At 38.4% G+C, this 15,829-nt stretch overlaps 1 protein-coding gene and 1 pseudogene across 57 annotated transcripts in view; one reads left to right on the top strand and one right to left on the bottom strand.

The window, feature by feature from the left end:
• Nucleotides 1-15,829, top strand: part of INPP4B (inositol polyphosphate-4-phosphatase type II B) — an 823,376-nt gene that overhangs the window by 516,523 nt on the left and 291,024 nt on the right. For all 57 annotated transcript variants that reach the window (NR_169617.1, NR_169615.1, NR_169599.1 and 54 more), the window contains one exon: nt 15,251-15,301. Coding sequence is in view for 33 of the 57 variants with exons in the window: in NM_003866.3 (NP_003857.2) it covers nt 15,251-15,301 (51 nt within the window). In the remaining 24 variants the exon portion in view is untranslated. The remainder of the gene's footprint in view (nt 1-15,250; nt 15,302-15,829) is intronic.
• LSM3P4 (LSM3 homolog, U6 small nuclear RNA and mRNA degradation associated pseudogene 4) lies at nt 12,239-12,799 on the bottom strand (annotated as a pseudogene).

The following is a 15,829-nucleotide window of genomic DNA, read 5'->3' as shown; positions in this document are numbered from 1 at the left end:
TTTGTTTATAAATTTTTTCCAGAGAATTGAGTTTCCTCATGTTTTAAGTTAGAATGCTTTTTCTGAATGCTTTTTCTGAATGCTTTTTACTTCATAGGCTGTGTTGCCCTTTAATATTTACAGTGTAAAAAAAAGTGTAAATAGTGGAATATTTATTATTTAGCACTAAATTTATTTAAATAATTATTAATCCACAAGTGTCCTTGTGACTAGTTGAGCATTATTAACCTCATAGATGAATGTAATTATATTAAGAGGAAATTTATATACTCACTTTAATTCTCTGTCAGTATTAAACTGCTTTCTATAAATATTTGGAAACAACTCAAGGCTACCCAGTAATTATTCCTCTAAAAACCTGCATATCTAGCTTGACCCTGACTCTAGGAAAAAGTAGAGGAATGATGATAAATAAGCTCTAATTTGTAAATGGCTCCTAATTTCTTATCCTTCCACACTTGACCTCCTGCAGTCCGTTCTCCACACATCAGAGTAATATTTTTAATGCATGACAAATATCACATCACTTTTTGGCTTAAAACCCAGCTAGAGTTTCCCATTGTAATTGTAACATAAACCCAATGTTCCCAGAGCCCTGCCTTTCTTCCACCCAACTTTCACTTCTTTCCCCTTTTTTCTCTTTGGTTTTTCAGCCACTTTGGCCTCAGTGCCTTTGCACTTGATGTTGCATTGGCCTAAAATACTATTCTCCCTGAGTTTCTCTGAGCTGGCTCCTCTGCGTTATGCAGGTCTGAATCAAAGTTACCTGCTCAGGGAAACCCACCTCAGGGACAGCTGTAGGTAAAGCACTCCCACCTCGTTACACTGTATTTTATTACCGTATTTTAATATTTTACTTTCTTTACACATTTTGATATTGTCCATGTCTTCCTGATGCTAGAATGTAGTTCATAAAGTGATTATTCCTTGTTCATGACCATATCTCTTGTACTTAAAAGGACAGATCAGCGCATGCAAAGGCATGGAGGGAGGTGAGAGCAAGGAAAGTTCAGGGAGTCTTAGTGGTTCAGGCTGGCTGGATTATTGGGTGTCTGTGGTAATCATCACATCCACCTCTGAAAGAGACTCTGGAAAGAAGCTGTCTTAAAAAGGGTAAGATTAATGTAATGCTGAGACCCACCATGGCAGTGTTTCTCAAACTTTTGGTTTTAGGACCCTTTTACATTCTTAAAAATTATCAAGAATCCCAAAGAGCATATGTTTATACAGTTATATTAACTATGAATATTTTCCACAGAAGAAAAACTCCAAAATTTTAAAAATATTTATGAATTCATTTAAAATGGCAAATAATAAACTCATTATATGTTAAATAACACATGCTTTTGAAAATTTTGTTTTGGAAAACCAAAAAAAATATACTGAGACAGTGACACTGTTTTATATTTTTGTAAATCTCCTTAATGTCTGATCAACAGGAGAGACCTGCATTGTCATGTCTGCTTCTCTGTATTCAATCTTTTGTGATATCTCGTGTCTTTTAGCATATGGAAAACTCCACTGTACACTGGTGAAGGAATTAGAGCAAAAAAGGAAAATACCATTTGAATATTATTGTGAATATAGTTTTGACCTTGCAGATCTGATTGGATCACACTTGAGAATAATGGCTGACTTATGGTTTGAAATGTAGGAAATCGATCTCTCAGCTGCCATCCACAAGGACTTAGGTTTCAGTATGTAGTTAGTTTATTGTAGTAAAGAAGCTCTCAACATAATGAAATTTTGTTCTTAATTTTGTCAATCTTTTGAAGCTTGAAATACTTTTTTTTCTGTTGAAACGCTGTACATTTCCTTATTTTCTTCGTCAGAAGAGTTCATGACATTTAATTTAATACCTTTGCTCTTTTAAAACAACACTGAGTTAGCCATGCAGTGGGCCACAGACACTGCAAAACAGTGTTTCTTAGAGAAAAGCGTGGTTCTAGTGCCTGTTTAGAATGCCACTATCACAATTCCCTCTGTTTCAGGAAAACTGGGATCTTTGCTTTAACTTCCCTCCGCAGTCTTTGTGTAGCAGACTTTTGCTGTGACTTCAGCCCTGAGTTTAGGCAACATAGGAGAGGGTTAAATGCATTGGTTTTGGAATACAGCAGATTCAAGTTGAAATATTCCCTCCTCCACTTACTAGCCACATAACCTGGGAAGAAAGTTAACTTCTCTTTGAGTATTATTATTTATTTTACAGGTTGAAAGTTAAAGGTTGAGCCTCAGTTTTCTCACAGGGTTGTTTTGAGAATTAGGTAGAGCGGTGAAAGAGAATGTTGAGTGATTAGAATGGCCCAGTTAAAGGAGTGTAGACAAGTAGGGCCCTGGAATCAGCAGTTTTTAAAACTTCTTCAGGTGATTCTAAAGTGCAGCCCATGTTGAGAACCATTGATTAAACTATTAGATGCTTTGGTAGAATTCTATAGAGAAAGAAACTATTGTGACAGTAGAATAGATCTACTGCAGTTATCCCAGTTTTGCCTGGACACAAACAGGACTCTTCGTTGGAGAGCTACCTTGAAAGCCCCTCCACTCCATGCCCATATACTTTTTTTTTTTTCGATTCATGTAAATACATACTTTGTAGGCTGATTATGTAAATCAATTAATTTGTATGGGGGGTTTGGTGATCTTCTTTTGACTACAGTTATCAAAGTCCAGGTTGTCAATGATCTGGAATACATAAGCCGTATCACGATAGTTTTGTTTTAAAGCTACTTAGAAATTATTTAGCCTTATATTGTTGGGACTAATGACTTTCAGTGAGCAACAGATTAATAGACGTGTGCTTTTGTTCATATTGCTGTTTTCTGTCTAATGGCTCGTTCATTAACTCATGACTATAGTCTTAATTGGGGGCTGTTAATACCTAACGATGGTGTTTTTGAGTCTGGTACTGTGATAAATTGTGTCTGTTTCTATTCCCTGAGGCTAATAGATATTTGCTTTTTAAAACTCTAATTAAGCAGCCCTAGGGAAGACAAAGTCACCATCAGTCTGGGCTCTGAAGAGGCACACAGCCATGGAAGGGGCATAGATTTTGGAAGGAGACTGTTTAATGTCTGCAATTTGCTAATGAAGTGGCCCTGGGCAAATTATCCCAGGTTCCTGAAACCCAGTTTTCTCATCTGTAAAATGGGCAAAGCAATAATAATGCAACACAGAACTACAATGAAATAATACAAGTAAAAAAAGACATGCCCTGAAATGATTAACCCAAAGGTTAAACAGAGTTATTATTTCTTTGCTTCCATTATTCTTATATATCAACTATAAGTTTTACAGTATTTCTAGGGCAGAAAGTTTCTAGGGTAGCCTATCACCATCCGGGTCTAATGCTGAGGATAATGGATCGAGCATAATGATTCTCCACTTTTTATAATGATGGTACAATTATTTTTGCTTATTGAAGTGGTAGAGAAAGAGAGGAAATGGATGGAGGCAGTGGTGGAAGTTTGACCTGATAACAACTGTTAGTAGAATACATGAGCTTTGAATTGAGCTCTACGTGTGTTTCATATGTTAATAATATCCTCATGTGAGGCTTTGGGAGTCAGCAGGAATGGAGTTCTCAGCTTATAAAGAACAGTTGTTTAGCAAGTTATCAGCTATTATCTTTAGTGCCTATAAAACACATTTTTAGATTGTGGCTTTCCAGTGCGAAGAGCTCCTTTATTTCTATTTGTAAAATATGTAAACATCCCTTACCACTTAAAGGAAAACTGTTGTCTGTCCTACTTTGTACAGCTTTTTAGAGGTTTCTCCTTCTTGCTTTAGTTAAGTCCACAGGACCGGACTTGGCTCGTAACACATAGTGCAAGAAAACCGACGGGGTCTGTACAATGCTAGTGTCCCAGCCTACTGTTCATTTCAGGAAGAACCAGAAATAAGTACTATGGAGGACAGAATCTCTTATGTTTTAGAAAAGCTATAAGGAGACCTCTTTGACTTCCATGAAAACAAAACCTCTTATCTGGCATCTCTTATTTTCAGCAGATCCTGTATCTTTCAGTGATTCTCTGATAAAGGAAGGTGATGTCTACAGATATTGTTGCCATTCAGTATTCTTTCACCTGCTTGTAATAGATCTCTATAATAGTCGGAAAGGGAAGTGGAATAAAATGTGGGTAATGGCAGGGATACTCAGAATTATATGACTCTGGAGCCACATTTGCAGTCACTATTAACCTAAAGAACTACATGAGTCCTGTATGACTGGTAGAATTTAGTATAATGGCGCATTCATATAGAGAAATTAGAAGTTTTAAAGCGCCACCAATTAAACATAAAGAGACCCATGTGACTAGGAGCTGTGGTGTGAACATCACTGCTTTAGAGAAATGGAAAACATCTAAGGTTAGAGCATCCAAACTAAAAGAGTGCTTTTATTTGTCTTAACTAGTATTTCTTTTTGGCATGGAAGCCTATAGAATGAACTTGTATACATAATTTGGTAGAGTGTGCTTTGACATTTGAAAGATGATCGCATTTAGTGAGTAAAACCCAAGATAGCATATCCCACTCAACAATTATTGTTTATCCAAGTTGGTTAATTGGGATTGTGTTTAGGCTGCAGAGTAAGCTCTAGTCTTACCAAAGGAACCACCTGTCATTATGCATTTGTAACCAGTTTGTCAAAAACGTAACTCAACAGACAGACCAATATTTAAATGGCATTTTTTCCTCTCCAGTTACATATAACCATAGTCTGTTGAATATCATTTTTCATCCCTTGACCGCATGTTTGGAAGATTTCTTAGCTTACCAATAACTTTTCTGGATATTAAGGAGTTCGGTTTGGGTAGGATGTGGTAGGTGGGACAAGCACTGCTCCTTCTGGCAACACCTAGAAAAGAAGCTAGGCTGATTGCAAAAATCACATGTTTGAAAGCACCGTTAAGCTATCAGAGCAAAAATAACTAGAGAGACCAAATTTCCAGAGCAAGGAGAACCTTTCAACGCTGAGCTATCGGGAGCCATGATTTTTGTCTAGGGGTATTTGCTGACTCTGAGAGTGGACTGAGGAGTAGGCCTTTGCCTAGACAGAGAGCTGCTGCTTGGAGAAAGAGAAATCAAAAAAGCTTTCAGCAGTTGTATTGGATGAAGTGAGAAATGGAGACTTCAGGGGCCTCAAGTAAGTGGCCATTTTTTTCTCAGAAGAGACTTGGTGAACTCTGACACTTTGCAGAAGGCTGGAGAACCAGGTCAAAGGCTTCCAAAAAGCAAAGTGAAAGTCCCCATAGTTTCACAGTGCTTGGGAAACTAGAGAGAGAAACTGACAACAGGCAAGAGATGCCCTAGGGGGAGTGCTGAGTTGACACTGAGAAACTAAAAAGCCGTTTTTCACCTGGAGGTATTCACAGAGTCTCCCTGTGGCTAGAAGTCTGAATATCAAGGTTTTGCCAAACAGAAGGTGGCAACTGGCAGGCATAACACTCAGCAGAGATTTGGGTTTTCATGCATAGTTGGAATGACAGTTTTGGAGTCCAAAAGAGATTCAAACTCATGGCTGGTCTCCCTCTAAAGACTTTTGTCAGATTCTGAGGCTGTGTCAGGTATAATGTTAAAGAAGTATAGTGGAATGTCTTAACAATATCCACTTTTTCAGGGCTGAGAAGCAAAGGCCAGTCAGGCTGTTGGTTGAAAACACAGAGGGCCATACCAGATAACACAGGTAGACTTAGAATCTTAGTTGGCTAGGGCTACGCATAAGTAATACCATAGACTGGGTAGCTTAAGCAACAAAAATTTATTTTCTCACAGGTCTGGAGTCTGCAAATCCAAGATCAAGGTGCTGGCAAGGTTGGCTTCTCCAAAGCCTCTCTCCTTAGCTTGTAGACAGTGGCCCTCTTGCTGCCTCTTTGCATGGTCTTTCCTCTGGGCAGAGCTTTTCTGGTATCTCCTCTTTTTCTTACAATGACACCAGTTACATTGGATTAGCACCCTAACCCATGGGTCTCATTTTAAATTAATCACTTCTGTAAAGGCCCTATCTCAAATAATTACGTTCTGAGCTACTTGGGAGTAAGGGCTTCAATATATGAATATTGGAGAAACACATTTCAGCCAATGACACTGAATTGTACCAACAATTCCAGCCCAGCTCTGTCCCAGATCAATCTCTGACTTGATTGAAGAGTGACTCCCTACCCCTCACCTTACCTGCCATTTGCCTCACATAAAAAGGGGGCACCTGTCTGCTGGAAGGTATCATCTGGAGCTTTTACAGTGGCTTGACATTAAAAAAAAAAAAAAGATCTGCTGGGCGCTGTGGCTCACGCCTGTAATCCCTGCACTTTGGGAGGCCAAGGCGGGCAGATCACAAGGTCAGGAGATTGAGACCATCCTGGCTAACATGGTGAAACCCCGTCTCTACTAAAAATACAAAAAATTAGCCAGGCGTGGTGGCGGGTGCCTGTAGTCCCAGCTACTGGGGAGGCTGAGGCAAGAGAATGGTGTGAAACCGAGAGGCAGAGCTTGCAGTGAGCCAAGATCGTGCCACTGCACTCCAGCCTGGGCGACAGAGTGAGACTCCGTCTCAAAAAAAAAAAAAAAAAAAAGTCATCATAACCGTAATAATGAACCTCATTTCTATTTCAGGCATGTTTAGGTGCAATGAAGACCTGTTCTCATTATGACCCATTTCACTCATGAGCATTCTTCCAAACCAGAGCTTCTCAAACATTAATGTACACATAAATGAATTGGGAATCTTACCAAAATGAACACTATGATGCACGTGTCTGTGGTAAGCCTGAGATACTGCATTTCTAACAGACTTCTAGAGAATGGTCTGGAGACCATCCTTCTGACCAGCTGTTGACCAGCAGGGGATGAGTATGCACACTAAAATTTAAGGAACGTTTCCTAAAAATGTCTGAGGGCCTTCTAGCTCTGATGATCTGTTAACTTTTTTTGTGTGTCCTTTTCAAAGGGAACCATATTTGATGGCTTGAACATGGCACAATGTGTTTTAAGATTCTTCATAGGACTTAGAGCTAGTTTGTGAGGCTCATTCTTACCAAAAAGTAATCTCATTTATTTTATAGCAATAGTTCTTTACTCTAACTTTGGCTTCACATTAGAATCAAGTGGAGTATTCACCTTAAAAATACTGATGCTTGGGTCCTTCCCTTGGACATTCTGATTTAATTATTCTGGGGTGTGACCTGTGAATTGGCATTTAAAACAAACACAAAACCAAAAACATGTTACAGGCGATTCTACTGTGTTGTCAAGGTTAATAACAACTGTTTTAGGGTAGCACATTTTAAAAACTAATTTTACTAAAATAGTAGTGGGCTTGCTTTGGCCCACTCACCTTAGTTACAAAGCATGTTTCTGGTAAAAATCAGCATATGGTAATAATAGCCCACTTTCAAAAGAATTAATATTTACCCATTGTTAATATTTGAAGGAATATTTCTCAGAATTTTTTCAATCCGTTGAAGCTGGGTAGTTGTCACTTCTTATAGACTAGAAATGTGATTCCATTTTGCCAGAGTCCTCTCCAATTCCTATTGTCTCAAACACCCAGGCCACTCCTTTCATTAATTTTACCTACCTGGAGCCTGTGGGCATGTGAGTTTGTAACACTACCGTTATGATACTGATTTGTGAGATAGTAAGCTAGAAATTCCAAATGTTGAAGAAGAAATGTTCAATGTACTTCCCAGGAATATTTCAGATATAATTTTCATATTGCCTAGTTTTTTTTTTAGATTAACTGAGAGATTCCTTGCATCTCTAAGATTCTGTGACCTAAATCATTTAGGTTTGTACATGCATCATTTTCTCCATGCAAGATTAAAATTAAACAACTAGAAAACCGTTATCTAAGACTAGCTGATAGATTTTAGAAAGCTGAAGATTCTTAGCAATTATTATTAGATGTTTGACTCTTACCATGCCATTGTTATTGCGTATCAACGAAATATACCTTGTCTTCTTAATCTCTTACTCTCTGAGATTGCCAGTGCTTATAATAGTGGCTGAATCATAATATGTGCTTGATACATGTTTGCTGGCCTTAAAATAGTAAATGAAGATTTAATGTTAGCTATGTTGCTTTATTTTCTCTTAACCATATACTAAATAAATCCAAAATTTCATTAGAACAAATCTGGAGGCATTACATTACCCAACTTCAAACTATACTATAAGGCTATGACCACCAAAACAGCATGGTACTGGTATAAAAATAGGCACATAGAACAATGGAACAGAATAGAGAACCCAGAAATAAAGTCAAATACTTACAGCCAACTGATCTTCAACAAAGCAGGCAAAAGTAGGGAAACATAAAGTAGGGAAAGGACACTCTATTCAACAAATGGTGCCGGAACAATTGGCAAGTCACATGTAAAAGAATGAAACTGAATCCTTATCTCTGACCTCATACACAAATCGACTCAAGATGGATCAAAGACTTAAATCTAAGACCTGAAATCATAAAAATTCTAGAAGATAACATTAGAAAAACCCTTCTCGACATTGACTTAGGCAAATAATTCATGACCAAGAACCCAAAAGCAAATGCAACAAAAACAGAGAGAAATAGATGGGATTTAATTAAACTAAAGAGCTTCTTCACAGCAAAAGAAAAGAGGAAATCTTTGCCAACTATGCATCTGACAAAGGGATAATATTTAGAATTTACAAGGAACTCAAGTCAGCAAGAAAAAAGCAAATAATTCCATCAAAAAGTGGGCTAAGGACATAAACAAACAATTCTCAAAAGAAATATAAATGGCCAACAAGCCTATGAAAAAGTGCTCAACATCACTAATTATCAGGAAAATGCAAATCAAAACTACAATGTGATGTCACCTTACTCCTTCAGGAATGGCCACAATTAAAAAATCAAAAAAATAATAGATGTTGGTGTGGATGTGGTAAAAAGAGAACACTTTTACACTGCTGGTGGGAATGTAAACTAGTACAACCACTATGGAAAACAGTGCAGAGATTCCTTAACATACTAAAAGTAGATCTACCATTTTATCCAGCAATCCCACGACTGGGTATCTACCCAGAGGAAAAGGAGTCATATGAAAAAGACACTTGCACATGCATGTTTATAATGCAGAATTCATAATTGCAAAAATATAGAACCAGCCCAAATGCCCATCAATCAATGAGTAGATAAAGAAAATGTGGTCAGCCATAAAAAGAAATCAAATAATGGCATTCACAGCAACGTGGATGGAGGTGCAGACCATTATTCTAAGTGAAGTAACTCAGGAATGGAAAACCAAACATAGTATTTCTCACTTATAAATGGGAGCTAAGCTATGAGGACACAAAATCATAAGAAAGATAAGTAGATTTTGGGGACTTGGGGAAGGGTGGGAGTGGGGTGAGGGATTAAAGGCTACACATTGGACACACTGTACACTGCTCAGGTGATGGGTGCACCAAAATCTCGGAAATCACCACCAAAGAAATTATCCATGTAACCAAACACCACATGTTCTTCCAAAACCTATTAAAATTAAAAAGAACGGAGGATCTAAATTATTCTGTCAAAACAAATGTAAACATCCAAATTTTAGTGTCTTAGCACGATGGAAGTTTATTTCTTGATTATTGTGGTAGGTGGAATTCTAAGATCGTTCCCAAAATTACCACTCCATGGTGTAGCATCCCTGCATAATCCTCAATACTGTGATAGGATAGCATTTACTGTCATGATTAGGTCATATTATATAGCCTAGTTGAAAGAGAGATCATCTGAGGAGAGCCTGACCTAATCAGGTAATCCTTTAAAAGAGGGTGAGTTCTTCCTAAAAACAGAAGTTAGAGAAGATTTGATGCCAAGGAGATTCTCTGTTGCTGAATTTAATGGAGGAGGGAGCATGGCAAGGGCTGCTGGTGTGTGGCCTCAGGAGTTTAGAGCATCCTCCTGTGAACAGCCATCAAGAAAATGAAGACCACAGTTCAAGAGTTGCAAGAAACTAAATTCTGAGAACAGCCTGAGGGAGCTTTGAAGCACATTTTTCTCCAGTGAAGCCTCCAAATGAGGACACAGCCAGCTGACACCTTGATTTCAGCCTCGTGAGATTTGAGTGGAGAATCCAGCCATATCATGCCTGGACTTCTAACCTACAGAGCCGTGAACAAATAAATGGATGTTGTTTTAAGCAGCTAAGTTTGTGGTAATTTGTTACACACCAGTAGAAAGCTAACACAATTATTTAACAGTCTACTACAGTAGTGATGGTTGGCAGATGGCTTTCTTTCATGTGGTAATTTTGGGACTCCGGTGCAGCTCAGCCACCACGTAAAGACTGGACTCCTTTATGTATGGCCATTGGAAGAAGAATGAGACAGTGGAGAGAGTGTACTATATTCACTTTTGCAAAATCCAGCAAACATCATTTGCATGTACATTTCATTGGTGAGAACTAGCTACATGGCTGCACCTGGGATCAAGGGTTCCTAGGATATGGAATCCTGGTTGAGTAGCTTCCTTCCAGAAAATTCATACTGTGAAGCAGGGCAAAACATTTCTGTTGTAGTCAAATTTTAATGTTTGATTATTAAGACACTTATGTGTCTCCTTCCAAGTAGAACAAGTAAATGTGATGATATATTCTAATTTGAGGTACATAGAGAATTAGAGTAACACTTTCTTTTTTCTTTTAAAGAAATGAGACACATTCATTATCAGAGACATTTCCAGGTGTGACAGTTTTCTAGGAAGAGCATCTGGGCTCTATCCCTGCCGAGAGGTGTTCCTCCACTATAACCAATGTCTTTCCCTCTGCCTGCCAGCTGAAACTGTCCAGAGGGAGGATGCTTCTCCCTCACCTACCAATGAGCAGATGCACTTGCATGAGGTCCAGGTGCTGCCAGCCTAGTGTGCAGACCCAGGACAGCATGGCCTTTTCCTTCTCTGGGTCTGGATCTCCAACAGACTCCTAGCATTTCAGGCAGCCCCATTGCCTGATTTTCAGCTACTCACCTGCAAAAAATGGAGCAGTCCTCGCTGTCCTCCCACCCTCAGGACAGCAATACCCATGCTCATTGTAACAAGGTTGACTAGTCTGAGGAGTATGTCTTGCATAAATATGAGCATTAAAGTCCTATGTTCCACTGCTGTATTGGTAGCTGAAGCAGCCTCTTGTTGGGAACAATTAAGATTTGTGAAGTAGTCTATAGGAATTCCATGAAAGAGTGAGAATAACCCACTGTATGCTACCTGGTTTTGTTTTTAAGATAAATTTAGTTTAATTTTGAACTTCTGGGGTTGATAGAGCAGGAAATTTATTTTAGATGAACCTTAAAAAATATTCAAGATGGAATAGGAAACATGGTTTTCTACATGATCACTACCATTAATTGGTCTGCCTTGCTTTATTTGACATCATAAAAGTCTAGACAAAAGGAAGCTGTAAGAATGTTTTAAATTTGTAGTCAGGAAGACATTCTTATGTTCCAGGAAGGGACAGGGAGGGGAATAGTGAAGAAAAATAGAGAGAAGAACTGCTGATAAGACCAAAAAAGGGAAAATGAATTCCTAAGGAAGGCTTGAAATTCTCAGGAGGCATGACATTGTCGGTGAACCAGAATATTCCAAATGCTACAGTGACAGCCTTTGCTTCATCCCTTCCTCACCCAGAGGTCTCATCTAAATCAGTTCAGGCCTTAGTATTTTTTAGTGACATATTCCTCCTTCTCTCTCTTCCTCCCTGTCTCATGGTCCTCCTCCCTTCCTTCCTCTGCCTTCCACTCCTTCTTTCTTTCCTCCCCTCTTTCCTCTTCATTTTCTCTCTTCCCCCCATTTCTTTCTCACACACTTTGTTCTTCTCTCTCTGGGTCACGTACTGTTTGCAGTGCTGAAAAGGATGAAATACAACAATCTGTAGGGTCTATTGTCCCCATGTTAAATAACTGACACAAAGGCTGAAAGGCAACTGGCATGAAGAGGTTCAATAATTTTTCCAAGGTGACTCGGGAAGATTTGGGATGTGTCAAGGGCTCTGATCATGCCACTCTACTATTCAATGCCTTCCCTCATATCCTATTGCCTGGCATACTTCAGTGGAATAAAACTCCACTTCTATAACATGGGAGACAGCCCTCTACAGTAAATGGCCCCAATTTCCCAAACATATGTAACTCCTGCCATTTCCTGCAGGGCCCCAATAGCATCAACAGAATACTTACTATTTCCTGAACACAACTGAGCTCTGGTTTATGTTTGTTTGTTCATTTTTGTTTTGGTTTTTGCATCTTGGTGATTATATTTATTGGAAGAGTTGGAGGAAAAAGTGACATTTAGCTCAAGAAGTCATGAGTTATCTGCAAATCAATTCATTTCCAGAGTGGAAAAATCCTCAGAATTATTTCTTAATATCAAAATGTATGCAGGTTTCTCTTTCAAATGCTTTGTACATTTAAAGAGGCAATTGTACAAAGTCTCCTATTTTCCATACAGGACAAATTCTTTGTGTCAGCCAACTTTCAGTGGAGGGACAACCAGGACAACACCATCTCCCTGGATAATGCGCGTTGGAATACTCAGTTTCATTGATTTACATATCCCTTCGTATGTTTATTCATCAATTTCTATAGTAGCCACAGTTTCTTCTACATCTCCCAACATCATATTTAAATGTTGATCATAAGCATGTAATCTGCCTTGAAGCCATCAGTCATTTCCCATTTTCATGTAAATTTGCTCATCTAGGCTGAGCCTGATAAGATCGAGGGGCTCCTCTGCGGTTTTGGTAGTTTGTTGATGGTCCACATAATCTGCCATATTTCAAATCCTGCACCCTTCCCCCTGAACTCTTACTCTTCCCCCTGAACTCTATGACAGATGCTTGTTACATAAAACTCTGCTTGTTTTATCATATCCTTCCTTGCCTAAAACTCCTACTCATCCTTCAAAACCCAGACCACCTCTTTTGTGAAGCCTTTCCTGAAACTCACAGGATAAAATAGTTATTCTTCATTCTAAATGCCCACAGGAAAATGCCCATATTTCTATTATAGCACTTATTGCATTGTGCTAAATTATTCACACATGTGTCTCACTCACTAGCCTCTGAAGTCTCAACAAGAAACACTGGGGCATTATTCACTGGCACATCCAGTGCTTGCTACCTAGCTTGTGTTCACTGCAATGGAGGGTATATTTTACATAAGAAAAGCATCACTGTTATAACCTATGTACCATAACATCACTAATAGGATAAAGAATATTAATTGTCAAAAATTTTCTACCTTTGTCCAATATTAAAACACATACTTTTATATTAATATTTATGATCCAAATCAAATACTTTATACAACTCTATGTATATTGACCATCTTACCAATTTCTGACTTTTTCTTTTCACTTTATTTGTAAATTTAAGTGTATATCTTTGGAAAATGTTATTTGGCTGTCAATTTTTTAAAAAATTAATGTATATAATAGTACACATATGTGCATTATATGGTGCATGTTGTGAGTATTCATTATATGTATAGCACTTTATACTAATATGTATATATGTAGTATAACAAACTATACATATACATACAGAGTTAGAGGGAGAAACCATATTTATACATACTATGTATAATCCATGCACACACAATACATTGTCCACCACCACTATTTGCGTATAGTTTCCTTGTCCTTTGAGGCCAGCTGATGACTTTCAGATAATGGACTGAATGGTAATCTGGGCCAAAAAATGTTAATGCAGCTACCAAACTTCTAATGCTCTTAGCCAGCAAGTGCTGTGTCATGCAGTCCTGAGTTGAAGAGTTGAGTGTGTTCTACAAATTGTGTTTACTCCATTGGGATCTCTCATGTCATTTATTTTGTGCTTGGATGAACAATTTTGAGTTATAATGACTGACAAATTGTGCAAGCGATAGTGCTGGATCTGTCATAAAGAAATAAAAAGCATTAAGCTAGAAGTTCAAATGCACATTTTATTATAGCTTGCTGCTTTTTTCAAGGACTTGGCAACTGTGTTCAAGATTAGCAGGCCATGAGGAGCTGATTCAAGTCTTTTAATATTATTAGGGGTATTAGAGGCATCCCTTCAATCTGGGAGGATTGACCTGGTATGGTCAGGTATGTCAAGACTTAAGGGATTTGAAGAGAAGTGTGCATAAAGGGATTTTGTTAAAATGATCCCTTAAAATGTTGATCCTTTAAGTGTTTTAGGCTGTTGCTCCCTGATTCTTCCCCTCCAATCCCCTTTCTCTCCAAGTAGACAGGATGTGCTTGTATATTGCTTTATATTCATTTAACTTGTTTAACTCATCTTTATTTCAAATTAAGACATACTAGATATGTTTCTTGTTTTTTCTTATGTTCCCTATCTTTTTCTGAAGCAAGAAAGGTAATCATGACTTTTTTTATTTGAAATGTGTTTTCTTAAGAGAACTGTAGAGTCAGTAGCTGTACATTGGAAGCAGAATATCTGGGGGCATGGAGGCGCACCAAGAGTTTGAAAGGGTCCCCAGGTGATTCTAATGTACAGCCAGGATTGAAAATCACCACTCAGTTGAAGATACATGTCTCTTGATTATATAAGGAGTTAGTGTTTCAGCTAGAACACCTTTTTGGAAAGCTTGCCCAGATAACCGGTTCTTTGACATTATTCCCCCTCCCACAATTGAGAATTACTTTTCCAGTAAATTCAGATGATGATATCTGTTAATTTGGCCCAGAATTCTCAAGTGGGAAAGATATCCTATAAGAAGCATGAGTGTGGGCGCTCATTCAGAGAACATTTTTTAATTAAAAAAATTGACACATAATACATACTTAGGAGGTACATAATGACATTGCAATACATGTAATATATTGTGATCAGATCATGGTAATTAGCATATCCATAATTTCAAACATTTATCATTTCTTTGTATTGGGAACACTCATTGTGCATGCATGGAATTGCTTTCTCTATACCAGCTCTTTCCTGTCCCTGAATGTTGAATGAAGATTGCCTTTTTAGGAGATTAAAGAGATCTGCCTAAATCCTGGATATATCTGTATTAGATAAATAGATGGAGTGAGGTTCCAGGCAGCTCTGTCCAGGAAGTTCAGGAACTGTAACAGCACAGCTTCATTGCACTGCCGCAGGTGTTGCACACAGGTGAATTCATTAATGATTAACCACAGAGTCTGAATTGACGCGAGATGAAGGAAATTGAAACCCAGCACCTGTGCGAGGCTTCTGCACTAGTTTCTACTCCAAAGTCTTACAGAAAATGTTTTTCTCCACAGGTTCGAACCAGTGTCCTACCAGAACATAAGGATCCCCCGCCAGAAGTTGGGGTAAGTGTTTCTAACGTTTCCAGAAGGCACACACATCACTTCTAAATTAATCATTTGGATTTTCTCTGGCCTCCTGCTTGGTAACTGACAAATAAAATTGAATTACATTAACAGGGTGTGGCTCTTCAAGGAGGCACTGTCACATATTTGCTGAATTGCATGGAATTCATTTTTCTGTTGTTTCCTGAAAATCATCCTCAAGTGAATTCATATTTAGTTCAGCTGGCTAGAGATGAGCCTAGACTTTGCCCTGCAGGTAGCTGAACTGTGTTTCAGAGCCAAGATTTCTGGACCAACAGGAGGTGAGGGAAATTACAGATGTGATCTCTACCGCTTCAGGAAGGAGGAAGAGAACCAGCCCTAGGATTGTGGTATTTTCTGTTTCCTGCCACTTAAACACTGTAATGAAGGTCAAAAGAGAGGCAGCCACCACTGTTCAGTCCAATGTTGGAAAATCCTGCTGAGGTTTTCTTGCTGCACTGAACTATTGCCTCTCTAGCATTCAGAATTTAGAGAAGAACAAGAAGG

Source organism: Homo sapiens, chromosome 4 (assembly GCF_000001405.40).
Source record: "Homo sapiens chromosome 4, GRCh38.p14 Primary Assembly".
Classification (NCBI taxonomy): Eukaryota; Metazoa; Chordata; class Mammalia; order Primates; family Hominidae; genus Homo; species Homo sapiens.
Note: the sequence above shows the minus strand (reverse complement) of the source record. Positions and strands in the feature narration are given on the sequence as shown.